Source organism: Homo sapiens, chromosome 17 (genome assembly GCF_000001405.40).
Source record: "Homo sapiens chromosome 17, GRCh38.p14 Primary Assembly".
In the NCBI taxonomy this organism is placed as follows: domain Eukaryota; kingdom Metazoa; phylum Chordata; class Mammalia; order Primates; family Hominidae; genus Homo; species Homo sapiens.
In genome coordinates, this window is record NC_000017.11 from 81,279,637 (window position 1) to 81,297,614 (window position 17,978).

The window sequence follows — 17,978 nt, forward strand, 5'->3', positions numbered from 1 at the left end:
CTGACTCCGGAACCAGACCCGAACGAGGTGCACCGGCTGCTACGTGGCCACCACCAAAAAGCCCCAGCTGCAGATTTATTTCTAAATATGCAAACACGCAGACACAAAGGGCAACTGGTAACTAGGTACGTGGCGGAAGAATGCGGCTTCTGTCACCGATCATAATGGGATATTAAACAGCAAGACTGGGGCGCGTTCTGGTGGAGATGGAGCTGCCAAGAGAGACGCTAAGTGGGAAATGACGATTTGGATCTCGCATGTGGGTGTAAACACAGCGGTATGAACAAATTTCATCTGTCACATTAGTTTACGATTGGCTCAATGCATGCCCACTAACGCTACAGGGGCCGCTCTGCCAGCCCCCCGCATGCCGATGGTCTTTTCCCGTCTGCGCCGGATTTACGCCTCTCTTTTCAGCCGGTTACCATGTTCCAACCGGGCACGAATCACTCGCTCTTGTCATTTTGGTGGAGAAGGTAATGCTGCTGGAATTATGGAAGAGCCCGATCCACATTTACAGAGCCCTGCGTGCCAGAGAGAAAGCAGGCTCGCGCGCACATGCAGGCCTCCAAATGCATCCAGCAGCCGTCTGAAGTCAATGTTTGTGCCATTTCCTTTTAAATATTCTCAGAACAGCTAAATTCTGGCGAAGCGCTCGACTCTGTGCAGTCAGATGGCTGGGTTGCTGCTGCATCCCCCACAGCCAATGCTCTGCTTGTGGGGATCTGGCAAACCAGGGACTCTCACCAGCTAGTCCCAAACATGTCCCAGGAATGAAGCCGATTTACCTCCCGATTAAAATATAACTATCTCCCTCAACCTGGGGCGGGAAAGGTCATCACTGAACAAGACATCACTCTTTAGCAGCCAGCAAAGAGCGATCACAGTAAACGAGAAAGAGAGGGTCCCGTCTCCCAGCAGCTCGCCCTCCCCGTCACAGAACTCCACCACAGACCACAGCAGGACACTTACGACTGGCAGGCGAAGGACATGCCGAAGATGGGGATGCAGCGGAAGACGCCCTCCCAGCGGACGTAGCTGACCCGCCGCAGCCACTGCCCACTGAAGAGGCCGTGCTTGAGAGAGGAGAGCACGATCTGCAGAGGGAGAGGGGAGAGAGCACGGGGCAGGTCAGGACGCAGGCGGGACTCAGCATCCCGGCCCACGCGCCGCTAGGAAGGAGTGGCAGGAGAGTGCAGCTCTTCCCACCCACATCCCAGCCCCCCACCACCCTGTGCCGCCCTGTGCCGCCTTGTGCCGCCAGCTGGAGGCAGGGAGACCCCGCGCCTTTCTGGATTCCCAACCCCTGCCTCAGAGCACCCTGGTTCATCCCGCGGGCACCAGAGCAGCTGCTCTTGCAAGGGGGCTGCTTGGCGCAGACGGGAGGAGACCACTGAGCATGCATGGCCCCAGTTTCCGTCGGTTACAGAGGCTGGTTTCCCACGTGGGCAGGTCCCTCCCCATCTTGTACTGTGTTAGACATGGACATTTTCCAAAAGACTGGCCCACCAGGACGCGGCTGTCTCAAGAGTAAAGAGGTAGCTGCCACTGGGCTGGCCCTCACTCGGAGAGCTGAGGAGCACTGGAGACCCTGGCTTCAATGACCACCTGGCCTCGTCCTGGTGCAAACCCGCTGTGAGACACCCAGGTTCCAGCCACTCAGGAAGGGTCATTTCTGACCTTGCCAGGGAACAGGAAGGTCCCAGGGGCTCGGGTCCTGGGGCTCCTATGGGCAGGGGCCTGGCAGAGAATGGAGGGTGTGCTGGGGGCTCTGGGTGGTATCCGTGTTCTCAGTGCCAACTCCACAGCTGGCCCCTAGTCCATCCTATTATAAATTCTCATTTAGAAAAATAATAGCGGCCGGGCGTGGTGGCTCATGCCTGTAACCCCAGCACTTTGGGAGGCTGAGGCGGGTGGGTAACAAGGTCAGGAGTTCGAGACCAGCCTGGCCAAGATGGTGAAACCCCTTCTCTACTAAAAATAAAAAAAATTAGCCAGGTGTGGTGGCGGGCACCTGTAATCCCCGCTACTTGGGAGGCTGAGGCAGGAGAATCACTTGAACCCAGGAGATGGAGGTTGCAGTGAGCCGAGATTGCGCCACTGCACTCCAGCCTGGGCGACAAAGTGAGACTCCGTCTCAAAAAACAAACAAACAAACAAACAACAATAGCTTGCCACCTTGTGTCAAAACACTGGCACCGTGAGCCTTGGTCACAAACCCTACATAAGACATCTTTGCATAAAGCAAGTGGACTTGGAGTTTCCTTCACCTTGCCTGGACGACATGAAACCAGCCTCAGAGCCACCCCTGCCCTGAGCCCCAGCCTCTCCTGCCAGCCAACCGCACCTGGGTCCAGCCAGCCCCGTCTGCCCCATGGTGCCCAGGGACCATGAGATGAATGGCACTTCCTGGTACATCCTGCTACTTCCAACACATTCCCAGGAGGCAGCAGGCGGCCACACCAGACCTGGGCACGAGCCTGCTGTGGCCACAGGAAAGAATGGGCCAGGAGCAGCCTTTCAGCGGGTACCCACGCGCGCTGCCGACTCACCACGAACATGAACACGGTGTAGAAGAGGAGGGCCATGGCGCTGAAGGACTGGATGGAGGCCATCATGTTCCGCTGCAGGCTGAGCGGGAGCACGATGCACAGCGACACGGCGAACAGCAGGAACATGCGGAAGGTGCCGCCCACCTGCGGGGAGCCGGCAGGGGGTCTTGGCCACAGCCCGTGCCTGCTCACCACCGGGCTCTCTGCACTGACAGGGAGTGGGAGCGCCCCGAGCCCGAAAGCCGACGGCATCCAGGTGAATGACGCCGGCGGGTCTGAGGCTGGCACACTCGCCCGAAGCCGCTCTCACAGCCACTGTGCCGTGTGCAGCCTCGGACACTGGGTATTTCCCCTCCCTGGAGCCCAGCCCAGCCCCACAGCGAGACCAGCCAGAGCAGGACAGCAGCCCCCCTAACACGGGAGGCAACACAGTGGCTGTGAGTCGGACTCAGCTGCCCTGGGCGAGGGGTGGGAAAGGTGCAGACTGCCCTGTGGGCAGGACGGGCCCAAAGCTCTAGCTACAAAGGCCACTACGAAGCACGGAAAACGGAAGGTCGAATGGGGAGACAGAGTAGGGGACCTAGCTCCCTGGATGCTCCTTGGAACTGTCTCTGACAAGGAGCGAATCTGGTACATTCCACTCCTGGAGAGGACACCCCCGCCTCAGTGGCCTTTGAAAGCCTTTCTACGCTGTTAGCACCCTAACGTGCCGTGATGCCTGCCCTGCCCAGTGAGGGGCTCTGCTCCCCGGCAGCGAGGGAAAGGTGTGTGGGCCCGTCAGGTGGGCCTCTCTGTGGTGGGGGGCAAGCACGGAGGAGGCTACCCCAAGGTCCCTGCAAGAAGTGCTGAGTCCACAGCCCCCAGAAGCTCTGGGTGACCATGGAGGCCGGGGATGCCTGAGGGCCTGGCCGCCTCTGCCCTCCAATGGGCAGCCCGGGCTGGCAGAGACTTGCTCTGCACTGTGCCCGGGTCTGAGGCTCCCCCACCCGCCCCTCATCTACATGGTGTCAGACTCTGCCTGGCTTGCTTCCTCGCGTGTACCTCTCACAGACGTGACCCAGCAAAGCCCCCGCACTCCACCAAGCCCCTAGAATGACAGCAGGCTCGACAGAAGCTTCTCCCGACCAGCACCCAGGTCTCGGTCCTCGGGAGGATCCCACAGAGGGCCTCAGAGCAGCCGTCAGCATCTGAACAACCCAGAACCCTGAACACATCCTTACCTGAAACCCGAACAGCCGGGCAAAGAAGTTGGACCCCAAGTCGCCGATCACGACGTAGAAGGCGATGCAGGTGCCCAGCATCAGCCCGATCATGCTGCACAGGGACGGGGGGTACGGGAAATGCCATCAGGGCAAGCTGGCACACACCTGGGCTGCCGCCAGGGACTACCCCAAGGCTGGGCTGAATGACAGATGTGATTTCTTTTTTCTTTTTTTTTTTTTTGAAACAGAGTCTCACTCTGTCGCCCAGGCTGGAGTGCAATGGTGAGATCTCGGCTCACTGCAAGCTCCGCCTCCCAGGTTCACGCCATTCTCCTGCCTCAGCCTCCCGAGTAGCTGGGAGTAGCCGAGTAGCCACGCCCGGCTAATTGTTTGTATTTTTAGTAGAGACGGGGTTGCACCGTGTTAGCCAGGATGGTCTCGATCTCCTGACCTCTGTGATCCGCCTGCCTCAGCCTCCCAAAGTGCTGGGATTACAGGCGTGAGCCACTGTGCCTGGCCAACAGATGTGATTTCAAACGCGCCCCAGTTCACAGGGCGCGGGCAGGTTCTGTGGCGCTCGCTATGTCACTTGGCATGCACACCAAACGACACTCAGCTTTTCTCAGCCTGGTATTATACTCGCCCCTCTGCGGAGGCTCTAAAAGTTACAAAAATCTCCATGATGGGCCTGGCACAGTGGCTCACGCCTGTAATCTCAGCACTTTGGGAGGCCGAGGCAGGCGGATCACCTGAGATCCGGAGTTCAAAACCAGCCTGGCCAACACGGCAAAACCCTGTCTCTACTAAAAATACAAAAATTAGCTGGGCCTGGTGGCACGCGCCTGTAATCTCAGCTACTTCGGAGGCTGAGGCAGGAGAATCGCTTAAACCTGGGAGGTTGCAGTGAGCCGAGATCACAGCATTGCACTCCAGCCTGGGTGACAGAGCAAAACTCCATCTCAAAAAATAAAAAAATTGAAAAAGCCCCACGATGTTAGTCAAGTTAAGAGAACAATCAACTGCTTTCAAAAAAGGCTGTTCGTTTGAGTTTACAATTCCCTAATTTAGAAGCCTAGAAGTGCAATCTCCCAGCGATTTTTTCATCTCATAAATTTTTTCATCTCATGAAATTTTATGCCAAAGGAAGAAAAATATGACATTTGCAATGTAATGCCACCTTTATGCAGCGGTGTTTGAGGGGTAGGTGAGGTGCTGAGGAATGGTGTTGAGAGACTACAACTGAGGGAGGACTGTTTACCAGGTTCTTGGAGTTTTCCATACATAAATTTTTCTTACAACACTGAAGGGTACAAGTAATTGGACTTTCATGTATTTAGCGACTCTTCAGAAACCTAAGTTACAGGTGAATCTGGGGATGAAACTGCCGCTCCCACCGGGAGGGTCCCCAGTGTCTGGGTGCGGGGGTGGGGGGCAAGCGCAGCGGCAGGGCGGGGCTTACCTGGTCTCCACCAGCATCTTGCCTGCCTTCCCGTAGGCGTGGAATGCTAGTGCAAAAGAAAAAGGAACACTCAATCCAACAGCGTGAGAAGCTCGTCCAGAACAAAGGTACTGAGCCAAGCTGTCAAGGGCGATTTCACAGAAACCCACGGGCCCAGATTCTCCGGGGCATGAGGGGTATTTCAAATTCTGGCTGCCAGGTTATTTTTGGATCTACTGTCTGCAAATGAAACTACAAGAAACAAAGACAGAGCAAGGGAAGGACAGGAGGCAGGTTCTTCTTTCACTCAATCAGATTTTTTAACAGACAAAGAGACAAGTCCCTGCGATGCAGTCCTCCCACCCGGTGACCACTGGGGGCCGGCTGGAAACAGCATCCCACAGCCCAGCACGGCCGAACCCCGTGCTGCTGGCCAGAGCTTGCAGGTCCCCAGAGGGTTCAGTGCCGGTCCCAGGTACCCGAGCGCCACAGCCTGCACCAGAGGGACTCTGACGGAGGGCTTTCATTTTCACCCTTTGGTTGGGATTTATAGAAACAAATGGAGACTCCTTTCGAGCATGGTGCTTCAGGAAGGGAGGGGACGAGAGCCCTGGGCTTGTGGTGTCCACGTGGACAGCTAATGAGGAGCCTTGCCGATGAGGAGCATGCGTTCCCGACGGGGCGGCCGAATGCGGAAGGAGCCGCCATTCTCTCCGCCCTGACCGCGGGATTCTCTGCAGCAGATGAGAAACGGCGCTGACTCAGCAGGGTCCCTCCCAGGCCCCGAGCGGTCATCTGGTGACCCCCGCGCTTCCCCCACGGCCCAGCCGGAGAAGGGCAAAGGGAAGTCCCGGCTCCAAGGCGCACCCAGAGATGCGGTGCATGTGGCAGGATGGCCCAGCCCCGTCGGCAGCCCCAGCTTCCTGCCCCTGGTTTCCTTCCTCCCACGGGCTACAGGCCTCTGATGAGCTTTGGAAAGCAGGAAACACACAGGCTAGTAACTATGAATGGGTCCAAAAAACACTCCTTATTACTTTAAACTACTTAGGAAGAAGCACAGCGTTGCCAAACGCCAGAGCCCGGGAGCAGCAAAGACCCCACCTCCAGGGCTCACCCTGGCCTTTCCTGGACCTGCCTATGGGCTCGCTGAAGAAGCCTGGCACCCCTTGAGTTCATCCCACAACACGGAAACCCGAGCCAGGCCCCAGAAGCTGACCTGAGGCTGTGGAGAGTTTCAAACACTAAGAACTCCAGGAGCCCCCTCAGCAGCCCACAGCCCAGGGCCCTGCTGTCACCAAGGAACGCCCTCCACACCCCTCAGTGACGGCACAGCCCGGAAGCAACAAAACACGGCGCTCCAAACATGAAGTTGCTCCTGGCCATAATGTGCCTTTTCATTCTCCAAAAGGAAGCTGAGTCTCTACAGCATATTCCAAACACGAGCGCACCTTGCCCAAGAAGGTTCCGGAATATGCCTGCCACTGGCAAGGGAAAATGGGAGGCTGTCTAGGAAATCAGGGCAGCACTCTCTTCTGGTTCCCAGGACAACGTCCTGAGAGCCCACCACGCTGAGACACGGCCCCACGCGCCTTCTTTTCCCCACCTGGGCCAAACCCTCACCCGCCATTCCCAGTGTCAATCCCTCGGCAACTTCTCCTCCCCAGGTTCAAACACCAGCCCCAGTTGGACTGACCCCACTCCTTCACATCCTGCGTGGACTGGCACAGAGAAAGGGAGGAAGAGGCTGAAGCGCCCAGCAAGGTCCCGGGGACCCAGCCCTCCCCCGAGTGTGGACTCCCAGTGCGGGCCCAGCCCCTGCCAGGCTGGAGGTATCTGTGAGCGGCGAGCTCTGAGGGCGCGGCCTCCATGCAGGGTGTACCCTACCCCAGGTGCAGTCAGATCTCCCCCAGAGCCAGCACAGGAGCCACAGAAGCCTGGACCACCCAACGAAAGGACGCGGGCAGCACTCCTGACACCGCTGCTCACAACCGAGAACTCAGAGGCCGCGTGGGGGCCAAACAGTCCCTGCTGCTGGGGGAGGCGGTTTCTAGCCCAGACCACGCATGCCAGGGTTCAGGCACAACTCTCAACAGGGCAGGGTCTGGGGCTCAGAACAGCTTCATGAGAAGCCGCGACAGCTGAAGGAGGCTGAATGACTGATGTATCTGTGTGTCTTCTGAAGAGGGGATTTAGAAAAGTCCATGTCCAAGCAAGACACGCAGGGCAAGGAAGCAGCAAGTGAGAAGGTGACGAAAACGACAAAAACCACCTGCAACCAGCAACAGCAAATAGGACAGGGAAATATACAAACACCAACAAAAAACGACACCTCTCCAGGCTGGCACATGGCACTGGAGGACAGCGGGGAGGGTAAAGCGATCAGCGGCCACCTCCCCAGGCTAACCAACCCGAGGAACCATTACACCGCAAACCTATGCCTGGGTGGGGGCAGATGCCATTCGGAGGAAACCACCCAGCCGTCCCAGGGAAAGTCAGTCTGTGTGCGAGGACGGGACCCAGCCCGGCGCCTCCTGAAGACTGCAGTGTGGAGCTGCTGTCCACTCTGCACAAGGGCCTCGCCTCAGCTCCAGGAGAGTCTCATCTTACCCTCCCCAGGGACGCCTCTCCCAGCGCGGGTCTCCCCACTTCTAAGACGAGCCAGGGCACACTGCAGCTGACGCGGAGCAGCTGGGCCCAGGGGCCTCTGTCCGGAGCTCACGCAGTGGAACCACCGTGTTTGGTGTCAAAGGCATAACCTGAGACACACTTGGTGTTTTGGAATCTTTTTTGTTTCTGGCAGGCAGAAGTGGACTGCGGTCACCCCATGCAGGTAAAGGTTGGAAGCTCAGGCAGGAGTTCCAGGCAGCACAGAAGAGCACCCACCCGGCAATTTTCTTCCAGTCCTTCACATGTAGCCAAACTGGTTTGACTTTTCAGGGACTTTGAATGAATAGACAGCTGGCTATCAGAAATGGGGGCCTCCCCAGCCCTGGGTCACCGGTCTTCTTCCAGGACACAGCCAAGGACTGGAGTTGGGGCCTCTGCTACAGAAACCCTATACAGAGACCTCAGTGAGGAGAAAAGGGTCGCCCTGCAGGCCACAGCTCTGCAGACCCAGGAAGGGGCCCGCCCAGGCACGGTGCCTCCTGGCATCCGGTAGGCATCTTTCAGCCCAAGTTGCATTAGGCCATCTCACTGTGGATCAAACTTAACAGTGAACTTCACTTCCTCAAATAACAACAAGAAAAGACTCTGACAGCACCATTCTCATCAGGAAGGGAGGAGAAGGAATACATCCCCTCCGGTTCTGAGGGCCGAAACGAACGCAGGACTCTCTGTGGCAACATGAAGGGGACTGGGAGGAAGTGGAGGCTGGGAGGCCAGGACCCACGTGTGGACCGTGCAGGTGTTTTTATTTTGTTTGGCCCCCTGGACCCCTAAACACCATTTCCTCTCCCGCCACCTCCTCACTCTGCCGCGGGAGCTGTGAGCCCGGGGGGCAGGATGGCCTTCTGCAGGGAGGACCTAACATCCCAGCCGCACACTGGCTGGAAGGTCCAGAGCCTTCATCACAAGGCCAGAGTTTTCACCAAAACCCACAGGGCCAACTCCTGAGAACACGGATGCTGGAATTTCAACACCCAGGCTGGATGCCCCCAGAATGGAACGTGGAGCCGAGAGGTGCCGAGCCTGTGGCGGGCAGGGAGACAGCGCGGGCCACACAGCCTGTGGGCAGACGGGAAGGTGAGGGATGGCGCCCTCGAAGACAAACAACGTAGAAAATATTCCACACTGAAATGAAGCAGAAAGCGCAGCCTTCTCTCCTGGCTGAAACAGCATTAAAGCAAGAAAGAACTAAGGGAAACAAAACTGCAACCAACAGCATCAGGGGAAGGACACAGCCACTGGGAGAGGAGCCACTGAACTCCAGCAACAGCCCAGGCCTGAGGAGCTTCCTCCATGGAATTCCGAGTTGGGGAGAACAGCAAGGCTCTCTGCAGGCAGCTCCGCAGGAAGGCATCTGGTGTCCAGGAGAGACACAGAGAGAGCAGGTCTGCACCAGCACGGTGAGGACGGCTGTCTTGGTCTGAGTTTAGAAGAGGAAGCTTGTGTGGACCTGCATGGGAGCGGGCAGGAGGGCATGGTGACAGGGAGACCTGGCGCCTCATACCCTTCTGTGTCACTCCAATTTTGAAGCATGTGATTATAACAGGTTTTTCTTTTTTTTTCCAGACAGAGTCTCACTCTGGCACCAAGGCTCGAGTGCAGTGGCGTGATCTCAGCTCACTGCAGCCTCCACCTATCGGGTTCAAGAGATTCTCTGGCCTCAGCCTCCTGAGTAGCTAGGATTACAGATGCCTGCCACCATGTCTGGCTAATTTTTTGTATTTCTGGTAGAGATGGGGTTTCACCATGTTGTCCAGGCTCGTCTCGAACTCCTGACCTCAAATAATCCGCCTGCCTCGGCCTGCCAAAGTGCTGGGATTACAGGCACGAGCCACCACGCCCGGCAGGTTTTTTTTTTAACTGCATTTTTTTTTAATTTGATTTTTAATTCTTTTGAGACAGGGTCTCGCTCTGTCACCCAGGCTGGAATACAATGGCGTGATCACAGCTCACTGCCACCTCAGACTCCTAGGCTCAGGTGATCCTCCCACCTCAGCCTCCCAAATAGTAGCTGGGACGACAGGCACGTGCAACCACACCCGGCTCATTTTTTTGCAGCATTACATTTTAAAATAAAAAAAACCCTGCTATCCAAGGAATTCTTGAAGAATCAAGTAGAGTAAATAAATAAATAAATAAATGGAATAAGGCCCCCGCCCCAGGTCCAGAGCCACCTTGTGGAGAGGGCGCCTCACCCAGGCCGGCGTAGGTCCTCCGCTTGCTCAGGCTGGCCGACTTCACCAAGAACATGCACGACTGGTGCGTCATCCATGAGCAGAAGACCAAGAGCAGCGCCCCCAGGACGATGCCGCACTGCAGGGTGGAGACAGGAACACATGTTCACAGCAGCAGGTGCTCCCCAGAGGCCCTCACCCCACACACGCGGCTCATGAGGACCCTCTTCACCCCCAGGCCCCGCTCCATCCCAGTCTCCTGCCGAACGCGACACTTCCTAGCACTGAAAGGGCCATTTCCTTGCTGTGGTGGCCGCGCGCCTTGTCCAGGGATGAAGCTGTATGCGCAGAGCACAGGGGTGCCATCTCCTTCCCAGTCCCCACCTCAAGTCTTCATGGACAGCGGGGTGCTGCCAACTAATACCCCCTTGTTCTCTGCACACACCCTACATGCACCATCTTTAGCCACTTAAGTCCACAGCTACAAGTAATGAACACATTCTGGAAGAGATTAAAAATGCCATTTTCCCCGTTCTCATAAGTTAAATAGACACTTACTGTGTGACCTGGGGATTAACTGCACCCCTAGGTATTCACTTACCAAGAGGAATGAAAACGTGTTCATGAAAAACCTGTATGCCAATGTTTACAGCAGGTTTATCCACAACCCAAAAATGGAAAAACAACCCAAATGTCCTTCAACAAGCGAATGGATACAAACTGTGGTCCATTCGAATAAGGGAATATTAGTCAGCAGGAAAAAGGGATGACTACTGACACCCACCATGACACGGATGGGACTCAAACGCACCATGCTGAGCAGAGGAAGCTGGACTCTGAATGCTACAAACAGTGTCATTCTGTTTACAGGAAACTCAGAAAAGGCAAACTTTTAGGCCAGGGAACAGCTCAGTGTTGCCAGGGGCTGGGGGTGTGGAGATTTGGCTGATGACAAAGGGGCACATGGGGACCCTCTGGGGGATGAAGCTGTGTGTTCTGTTTGACTGTGGTGGTTACACAGCAAGCCCATGACCTGCACCCTAAAAAGAGTCAATCAGCCGGGCACGGTGGCTCACACCTGTAATCCCAGCACTTTGGGAGGCCGAGGTGGGCAGATCACGAGGTCAGGAGATCGAGACCCTCCTGGCCAACATGGTGAAATCCCATCTCTACTAAAAATACAAAAATTAGCTGAGCATGGTGGTGTGTGCCTGTAATCCCAGCTACTTGGGAGGCTGAGGCAGGAGAATCACTTGAACCAGGGAGTCAGAGGTTGCAGTTGAGCCGAGATTGCGCCACTGCACTCCAGCCTGGCGACCGAGCAAGACTCCGCCTCGAGAAAATAAAAAGAGAGTGAATCTTCCTGCATGTCCACTACCTCCATCGAGGTGACACTTAAAACACAAGGACCGCCACACTAGTGCGAGACGTCAGTCACGTGAACCTAGCTGGACGGTGAGGGGGGCGGGGGCGCTGCACTTTCCAGTCTGTTGTTCTGTAGACTTAAAACTGCTCAAACACATAAGTCCGGCTGGGCACACTGGCTCACAACTGTCATCCCAGCACTTTGGGAGGCCGAGGCAGGTGGATCATTTGAGGTCAGGAGTTCGAGACCAGCCTGGCCAACATGGTGAGACCCCCACCTCTACTGAAAACACACACAAAAAATTAGCCAGGCTTGGTGGTGGGCGCCTGTAATCCCAGTTACTTAGGAGGCTGAGGCAGGAGACTTGCTTGAATCTGGGAGGTGGAGGTTGCAGTGAGCTGAGATTGAACCATTGCACCCCAGCCTGGGTGACAGAGTAAGACTCCATCTCAAAAAAAAAAAAAAAAAGTAAGTCTATTAATACCAAAAACTCATGAGATATCACCAAGCACTCATCAGAATGGCTCCAGCGGAAAAGACACGATACCCAATGCTACCGGGGATGCGGGCCGGCATGTGCACCACTGCACCCACATGGCAGCTCCAGAGCGGAGCACACGCACCCTGGGGCCCGGCCACTCCACACAGGCACGCACCCAGCAGAAACCACCCCCTGCCAACGCCTGTCCAACTCCTCAGGGCATCACAAGAGCTCCCAATAGGAGACACCGTAAATGCCTCACAGGGGTAAACTACACACAGACACGCATGGCGGTGCAGCGGACACCAGAACGCAAGCCAGACACTCGCACTAGACACCTGCACAGCAGGACCCACCCACCTCAGTTCAAACCAGGCAGCACCACCGTGGCACACTAGGGGTCAGCAGTGTGCCCCGGGTAGGCCGCCACGGCCACAGAGTACGCTCCTTAATTTGGGAGCTAGTCACACGGGTTTGCTCGTCATATGAAAATTCATCAACAGCACATCTAAAGAAGTGTGTACACATTTTTGTATGTCAAACTTCAATGTTTATTATATATATAATCTATATAGATCTATATCTATATCTATCTAGATATAGATATAGATATATATTTTTGTTTGTTTGAGACAGAGTCTCACTCTGTTGCCCAGGCTGGAGTGCAGTGGCGCGATCTTGGCTCACTGCAAGCTCCACTCCCGGGTTCAAGCGATTCTCTTGCCTCAGACTCCCTAGTAGCTGGGACTACAGGCGCCTGACATCGCGCACAGCTAATTTCTGTATTTTTAGTAGAGATGGGGTTTTATCATCTTGGCCAGGCTGGTCTTGAACTCCTGACCTCGTGATCCACCCTCCTCAGCCTCCAAAAGTGCTGGGATTACAGGCGTGAGCCAACACGCCCAGCTATGTATATATATAAATATATCAAAACTACTAAAACAAAAAAAAAAACACTAATCCAAAGTTTTTCAATGCCAAGGCTGCCAAACACTAAACACACACATCCCCAAATCGCCTGCTGGCGTCTCCCTGCGCCCCAGTCCAAGAAGGCTGCCGTGGAGGAGACGCTGCGGCCAGATCAGAGCAACTGGGCCTCCCTCTGGGCAGCCCTCAGGACTCAGAAGGACGTCTCTAGTCCTTCACTTCCTGACAGGTCTGTGCAGATGCCCGGCTAATCAGCACATGCTCTGGCAGGGGCCTAATGTCCACCACATGGCAGGTGGTCCAAGGCTCGAGATAGCTGGATCGTCTGGGCCCTAAGATGTACTTTCACAGGTGTCTAAACCAGAGCCCCTTCCACGGTGGCACTTCACCGACAGGCATCAAAGATGACAGCATTTGGGGCCAGGCACGGTGGCTCACGCCTGTAATCCTAGCACTTTGGGAGGCCGAGGTGGGTGGATCACCTGAGATCAGGAGTTCGAGACCAGCCTGACCAACATGGGGAAACCCTGTCTCTACTAAATACAAATAAATAAATAAATAAATAAATAAATTAGCCGGCGTGGTGGCACATGCCTGTAATCCCAGCTACTTGGGAGGCTGAGGCAGGAGAATCACTCGAACCCTGGAGGCAGAGGTTGCAGTGAGCCGAGACTGCACCACTGCACTCCAGCCTGGGTGACAGAGCGAGACTCCGTCTTGAAAAAACAAAGATAACAGTCTTTGACTTGCAGGAGAAGGACCAGCTACTGCTCCACATGCCAGAATGCAGTTCTGCTGCCAGGCAAGTCACAGTGGACACTGGGACATGGAGTCAGTCCAGAAACACCCAGAGGTGGCTGGCAGAAAGCTGGGATTCTCCACGCCCAGACCAGATGCTGCCCGGGGGGCTCTGGAGGCATGTAGCCCTGTCTTCCCCTGACAGGCTCACCAACCATATCAGGCAAACAACTCAGACACAACAGCCTGGAGGGCTGCACGGGAGGGTTTGAAAATTCCTTGATCAAAAAAAAGTTGTTTTTTTTTTAGAGATGGGGTACTGTTGTGTTGCCCAGGCTGGAGTGCAGTGGTGCAATCATAGCTCACTGTAATCTCAAACTCCTGGGCTCAAGTGATCCTTCTGCCTCAGCCTCCCGAGCAGCTGAGACTACAGGTATGCACCACCATGCCCAGCTAACTTTTAATTTTTTTTGTAGAGACGGGGTCTTACTATGTTGCCCAGGCTGAAAAAATTTTTTGGATATTTTTATTCCAAAGATAATGAATATGAAAAACACAGTGTTTGCTAAGCTAATCTAAAATTAAACTACTGGTGCCACTTTGTTTCAAAATATACATGTTGTTTTCATTTTTCTACCTACTTGGTAACGTTTCAGTCAGCCTTTCTTTTCCAAAGCACTAAATGCTTGTTTATTGTAGATTAAACAGATGACACTTAGAAATGGCCATTTTCTTTCATGTGTTATTCAATGCTGGAATGACGCTAAACTTTTTGTATTTGAGATTTTTTCCAACTGTGGTAACGTCTGCACACATTAGATCAAATGTGCAGTTTTTTGTTTTTGTTTTTGAGACGGAGTCTCCCTCTGTCGCCCAGGCTGGAGTGCAATGGCGTGATCTCGGCTCACTGCAACCTTCGGCTCATTGAAACCTTCGCCTCCCAGGTTCAAGCTATTCTCCTGTCTCAGCCTCCCAAGTATCTGGGATTACAGGCATGTGCCACCACCCCCGGCTAATTTTTGTATTTTCAGTAGAGATGGGGTTTCAGCATGTTGGTCAGGCAGTTCTCGAACTCCTGACCTCAGGTGATCCACTCGCCTCGGCCTCCCAAAGTGCTGGGATTACAGGTGTGAGCCACCACCCCCTGCCAAATGTGCGGTTTTTGTGAAACGCAGATCTTAGGTGTATAACCTGGTGGATGTTTTTAATCACCTTGCAACCAAGGTCCCTATCTAGTGTCGAAGCCTGGGAGTGGTGAGTTGTGTGCTTCTGAAGACAGGTGCAGTTGGGTCAGAGTTTTTAAAAACACGATAAAATGTAAAAATACGGAGTCCCACCGTTCCCTTCCGATTCTGGAGGATCATTTTGCTTTGTTACACTTTGCTTCGGTATCGAGTTTTTGAGTGTGGGGAACTTTCCGGCCCGGGCTGACAAGGGCTGCCAGGGCCAACGCCGTGCGCTTCTCATCCACGGATTCTCTACGGGAACTGCGCCGGGACCCAGAGGGTCGCCCCGCCCGCGGCCGCCTGCACCCGCCCAGCGAAGCCCTGCCCCGGCGGGAACTTTAACCAGGACGACCCAGCCAGACGCCCCCTCTGCGGGGGAGGCGAGGGCGGTGATCTCCGGGCCCACCGGACTCACCTGTTTGAAGCAGAAGGGCATGGTGAGGACACTGACCCCTACGATGCTGTTCACGATGTTCGTGATCAGCCCCCAGTTGGAGGCGGCGGCCGCGGTCATAGTGAGAGGTCTAGGGGCCCGGGGCGAGAGGCCTCGGGGGTCGCCGGGCTGCGGCCGGCTTTGGAAGCCCAGCCCGAGGCCACGGTCACAGGTCCCAACGTCCGGGACGCCGGTGGGGAGGGGATGGGCAGCCTGAACACGGGAGCCTGAGCAGGCGCGGGCGCGGGCCCCAGAGGCTGCCTGGAGGAGGCAGCCTCGAAGGCCGGCTGCGGGGGCGAGGTCAACCTCCGGACCCCGCCAAGCCCTGCGGCCGCCTCAGGGCCATGCGTCCCTCGCTCGGCCTCGCGGGCCGCCTGTGAATCTCCGAGCCCAGACCCGGAAGAGCCGCAGAGCCAGCTAGGGACACCTCAGCCCAACTCAGCTGCCGCCGCGGCGCTCACACTTCCGCCTTCCACGGGCTCCGTTGCCCGGAAGTGACGGCCAGGGGGTAGGGTTTGGTGGGACGCGAGCCAATGAGAGGCGGGCCCGGAGGGGCGGGCGGAAACTGGGCCGGTGGGCACCTGAGGGTCTCGCAGCTGTCCGGTTCGCCAAGCTGGTCCAGCCGACCTGTGCCCGGGGCCCCAGTTCAACGAGCTGGAGGACAAGGGACTCGCCCCGCGAGGCCTCGGTTTGGATGGGCAGTCGCGGGCTGGAGAGAAGGGGAGGCGCTGTGCCTTCCGGGGAGGAGCGGGTTTAAGGGTTCCTTTTTGACCTTTATTCCCAGGACCGATTCTGGGGCGAGTGCTTGGCGCCAGGGCACGGGGGCGGGGGCCCTGACTGCCTCAGCCGAAAAATAGTCTGTTGTGAGGAATTAGCACCTAGGAGGTAGGAATGAAACGCTGGGCACAGAGAGGCTCGGCCACTCCGCTAAGGCCACACAGCTCCAAGGGGAGGCGGTGCCCTGCCGAACTGCGCCCAGATCAGTGGCAATGTTGAACTTCACCTTTTCACACGAAAAGAGCAAGGGACATTCCTGGAGGGGACAGGAGAGGTGGAGGCTTACATGAACAGGGAAACCCGGGAGGGCTTCCAGAAGGAGGTGGCTTCTAGGCTGGAGCTTGAAGGACAAATGAGAATTCCTCGGGTAGAAATGGAGACCGGGGAGAGGAGAGAACAGAGAAGGGTCCCGATAGATCTGTGGATTCCTGGCACCTAGCTGCTCACTCTGAGTCTAATGAATGAGCGCGTAGACCGAATGGCTGGGAAGCAGCAAGTGATTCCAGGCTGCTGGGGGAGGACGGCGGAGGAAAGGAGGCCGTGTCTGCAGCACCTGCAGGACCAGGTGTCTTAGAACAGAGGCCCGTTCCTCAGGCACTGGCAGTGCAGCCACCAAGTAAGGCTGTGCCCCACCTTCAGGAGAACAGGAGGAAATGCCTGGGTAAAGACTAATTAAATACGCAGGCAAAATAACAAATGCCTGCGTTCTTTTTTTTTTTTTTCTTCAGTCAGAGTCTTGCTCTGTCGCCCAGGCTGTATATGCAGTGGTGTGATCTTGGCTCACTGCAACCTCCACCTCCCAGGTTCAAGCTATTCTCATGCCTCAGCCTCCCAAGTAGCTGGAATTACAGGCTCCCGCCACCACACCCGGCTAATTTTTGTATTTTTAGTAGAGACCAGGTTTCACCATGGTGGCCAGGCTTGCCTCAAACTCCCGACCTCAGGTGATCCGCCCACCTCGGCCTCCCAAAGTGCTGGTATTACAGGCATGAGCCACCGCACCCAGCCCATTTACTTTTATATAAATGAAATGGCATACACATTCCATAACCTCCTTTTTATTATGTAATTTTCATCAAATGTTATGCATGCGAGGTAGGCTGGGCAATTTACATGTATGTTTTCACAAATAGCAAATACCATGGACCCGCTATTGAGCTTTAAGAACAAAATATTACCGAAGACTTAGATCCTCCCTTTCAGTTCCTCCCCAGTTCCAGCACCTTCTTCCCCTCTTCCCTGCTATCCTGAGACATCACAATCCAGATTCCATCAATTCATTACTTTTCTTTAAAGGTTTACCATATATGGATATATCCCTAAACAATTATGGGGAAGACTATTTGTCTCTTTTTTTTTTTTTTTTGAGACAGAGTCTCACTCTGTCACCCAGTCTGGAGTGCAGTGGCACAATCTCAGCTTGCTTCAGCCTTTCCCTCCTGGGCTAAAGTGATCCTCCCACTTCAGGCCCTCAGTAGCTGAAACTACAGGTGTGTGCCACCATGCCCAGCTAATTTTCACTTTTTTTGTAGAGATGGGATTTTGTCATGTTGTCCAGGCTGGTCTCAAACTCCTGGGTTCAATCGATCTGCTCACCTCGGCCTCCCAAAGTGCTGGGATTACAGGCGTGAGCCACTGCGCCCAGCTGACTCTCTGTCTCTTAATATTCGTTTATTCCATTTTCCAAATTAATAGGAATTGGCCTGCACGTATGACTGCCTAGGATAAAAAATACACTTCCAGCCGAGCATGGCGGCTCACACCTGTAATCCCAGCACTTTGAGAGGCCGAGGCAGGCAGATCACGAGGTCAGGAATTTGAGGCCAGCCTGGCAAACATGGTGAAACCCCATCTCTGCTAAAGATACAAAAAATTAGCCAGGCGTGGTGGCGCGCACCTGTAATCCCAGGTTCTTGGGAGGCTGAGCCAGGAGAATCGCTTGAACCCGGGAGGCAGAGGTTGCCGTGAGCCAAGAGCGTGCCATTGCACTCCAGCCT

At 55.3% G+C, this 17,978-nt stretch overlaps 1 protein-coding gene across 6 annotated transcripts in view, besides 7 other annotated features; it reads right to left on the reverse strand.

Moving 5' to 3' along the window:
• Positions 1-15,671, reverse strand: part of SLC38A10 (solute carrier family 38 member 10) — a 50,497-nt gene extending 34,826 nt beyond the window's left edge. For 3 of the 6 annotated variants that reach the window (NM_001037984.3, XM_005257019.2, NM_138570.4), the window contains exons 1-6: positions 15,187-15,671; positions 10,055-10,172; positions 5,214-5,259; positions 3,773-3,866; positions 2,553-2,696; positions 973-1,097 (exon numbers count right to left, since the gene is read on the reverse strand). In NM_001037984.3, the coding sequence (NP_001033073.1) occupies positions 973-1,097; positions 2,553-2,696; positions 3,773-3,866; positions 5,214-5,259; positions 10,055-10,172; positions 15,187-15,285 (626 nt within the window). In that variant the 5' untranslated portion in view covers positions 15,286-15,671. Of the gene's footprint in view, positions 1-972; positions 1,098-2,552; positions 2,697-3,772; positions 3,867-5,213; positions 5,260-7,708; positions 7,714-10,033; positions 10,173-15,186 lie in introns of those variants that run through there. The other 3 variants (XM_011524289.2, XM_011524288.2, XM_011524290.2) reach the window with 2 other exon arrangements.
• Positions 2,253-2,766: an enhancer, noted in NCBI's record as "H3K27ac-H3K4me1 hESC enhancer chr17:79255689-79256202 (GRCh37/hg19 assembly coordinates)". NCBI's record gives its function as "activates a minimal SCP1, AML or CMV promoter by ChIP-STARR-seq in naive H9 embryonic stem cells {active_cell/tissue: H9 hESC(naive)}" and the evidence as "EXISTENCE:reporter gene assay evidence [ECO:0000049][PMID:30033119]".
• Positions 5,857-6,186: an enhancer, noted in NCBI's record as "active region_12960". NCBI's record gives its function as "activates an Ori minimal core promoter by ATAC-STARR-seq in GM12878 lymphoblastoid cells {active_cell/tissue: GM12878}" and the evidence as "EXISTENCE:reporter gene assay evidence [ECO:0000049][PMID:35858748]".
• Positions 5,857-6,307: a biological region, named in NCBI's record as "Sharpr-MPRA regulatory region 13761".
• Positions 6,013-6,307: a silencer, noted in NCBI's record as "tiled region #13761; K562 Repressive non-DNase unmatched - State 1:Tss". NCBI's record gives its function as "represses a minimal TATA promoter and a strong SV40 promoter by Sharpr-MPRA in K562 cells {active_cell/tissue: K562}" and the evidence as "EXISTENCE:reporter gene assay evidence [ECO:0000049][PMID:27701403]".
• Positions 15,147-15,216: a silencer, noted in NCBI's record as "silent region_9122". NCBI's record gives its function as "represses an Ori minimal core promoter by ATAC-STARR-seq in GM12878 lymphoblastoid cells {active_cell/tissue: GM12878}" and the evidence as "EXISTENCE:reporter gene assay evidence [ECO:0000049][PMID:35858748]".
• Positions 15,317-15,586: a silencer, noted in NCBI's record as "silent region_9123". NCBI's record gives its function as "represses an Ori minimal core promoter by ATAC-STARR-seq in GM12878 lymphoblastoid cells {active_cell/tissue: GM12878}" and the evidence as "EXISTENCE:reporter gene assay evidence [ECO:0000049][PMID:35858748]".
• Positions 16,247-16,336: an enhancer, noted in NCBI's record as "active region_12961". NCBI's record gives its function as "activates an Ori minimal core promoter by ATAC-STARR-seq in GM12878 lymphoblastoid cells {active_cell/tissue: GM12878}" and the evidence as "EXISTENCE:reporter gene assay evidence [ECO:0000049][PMID:35858748]".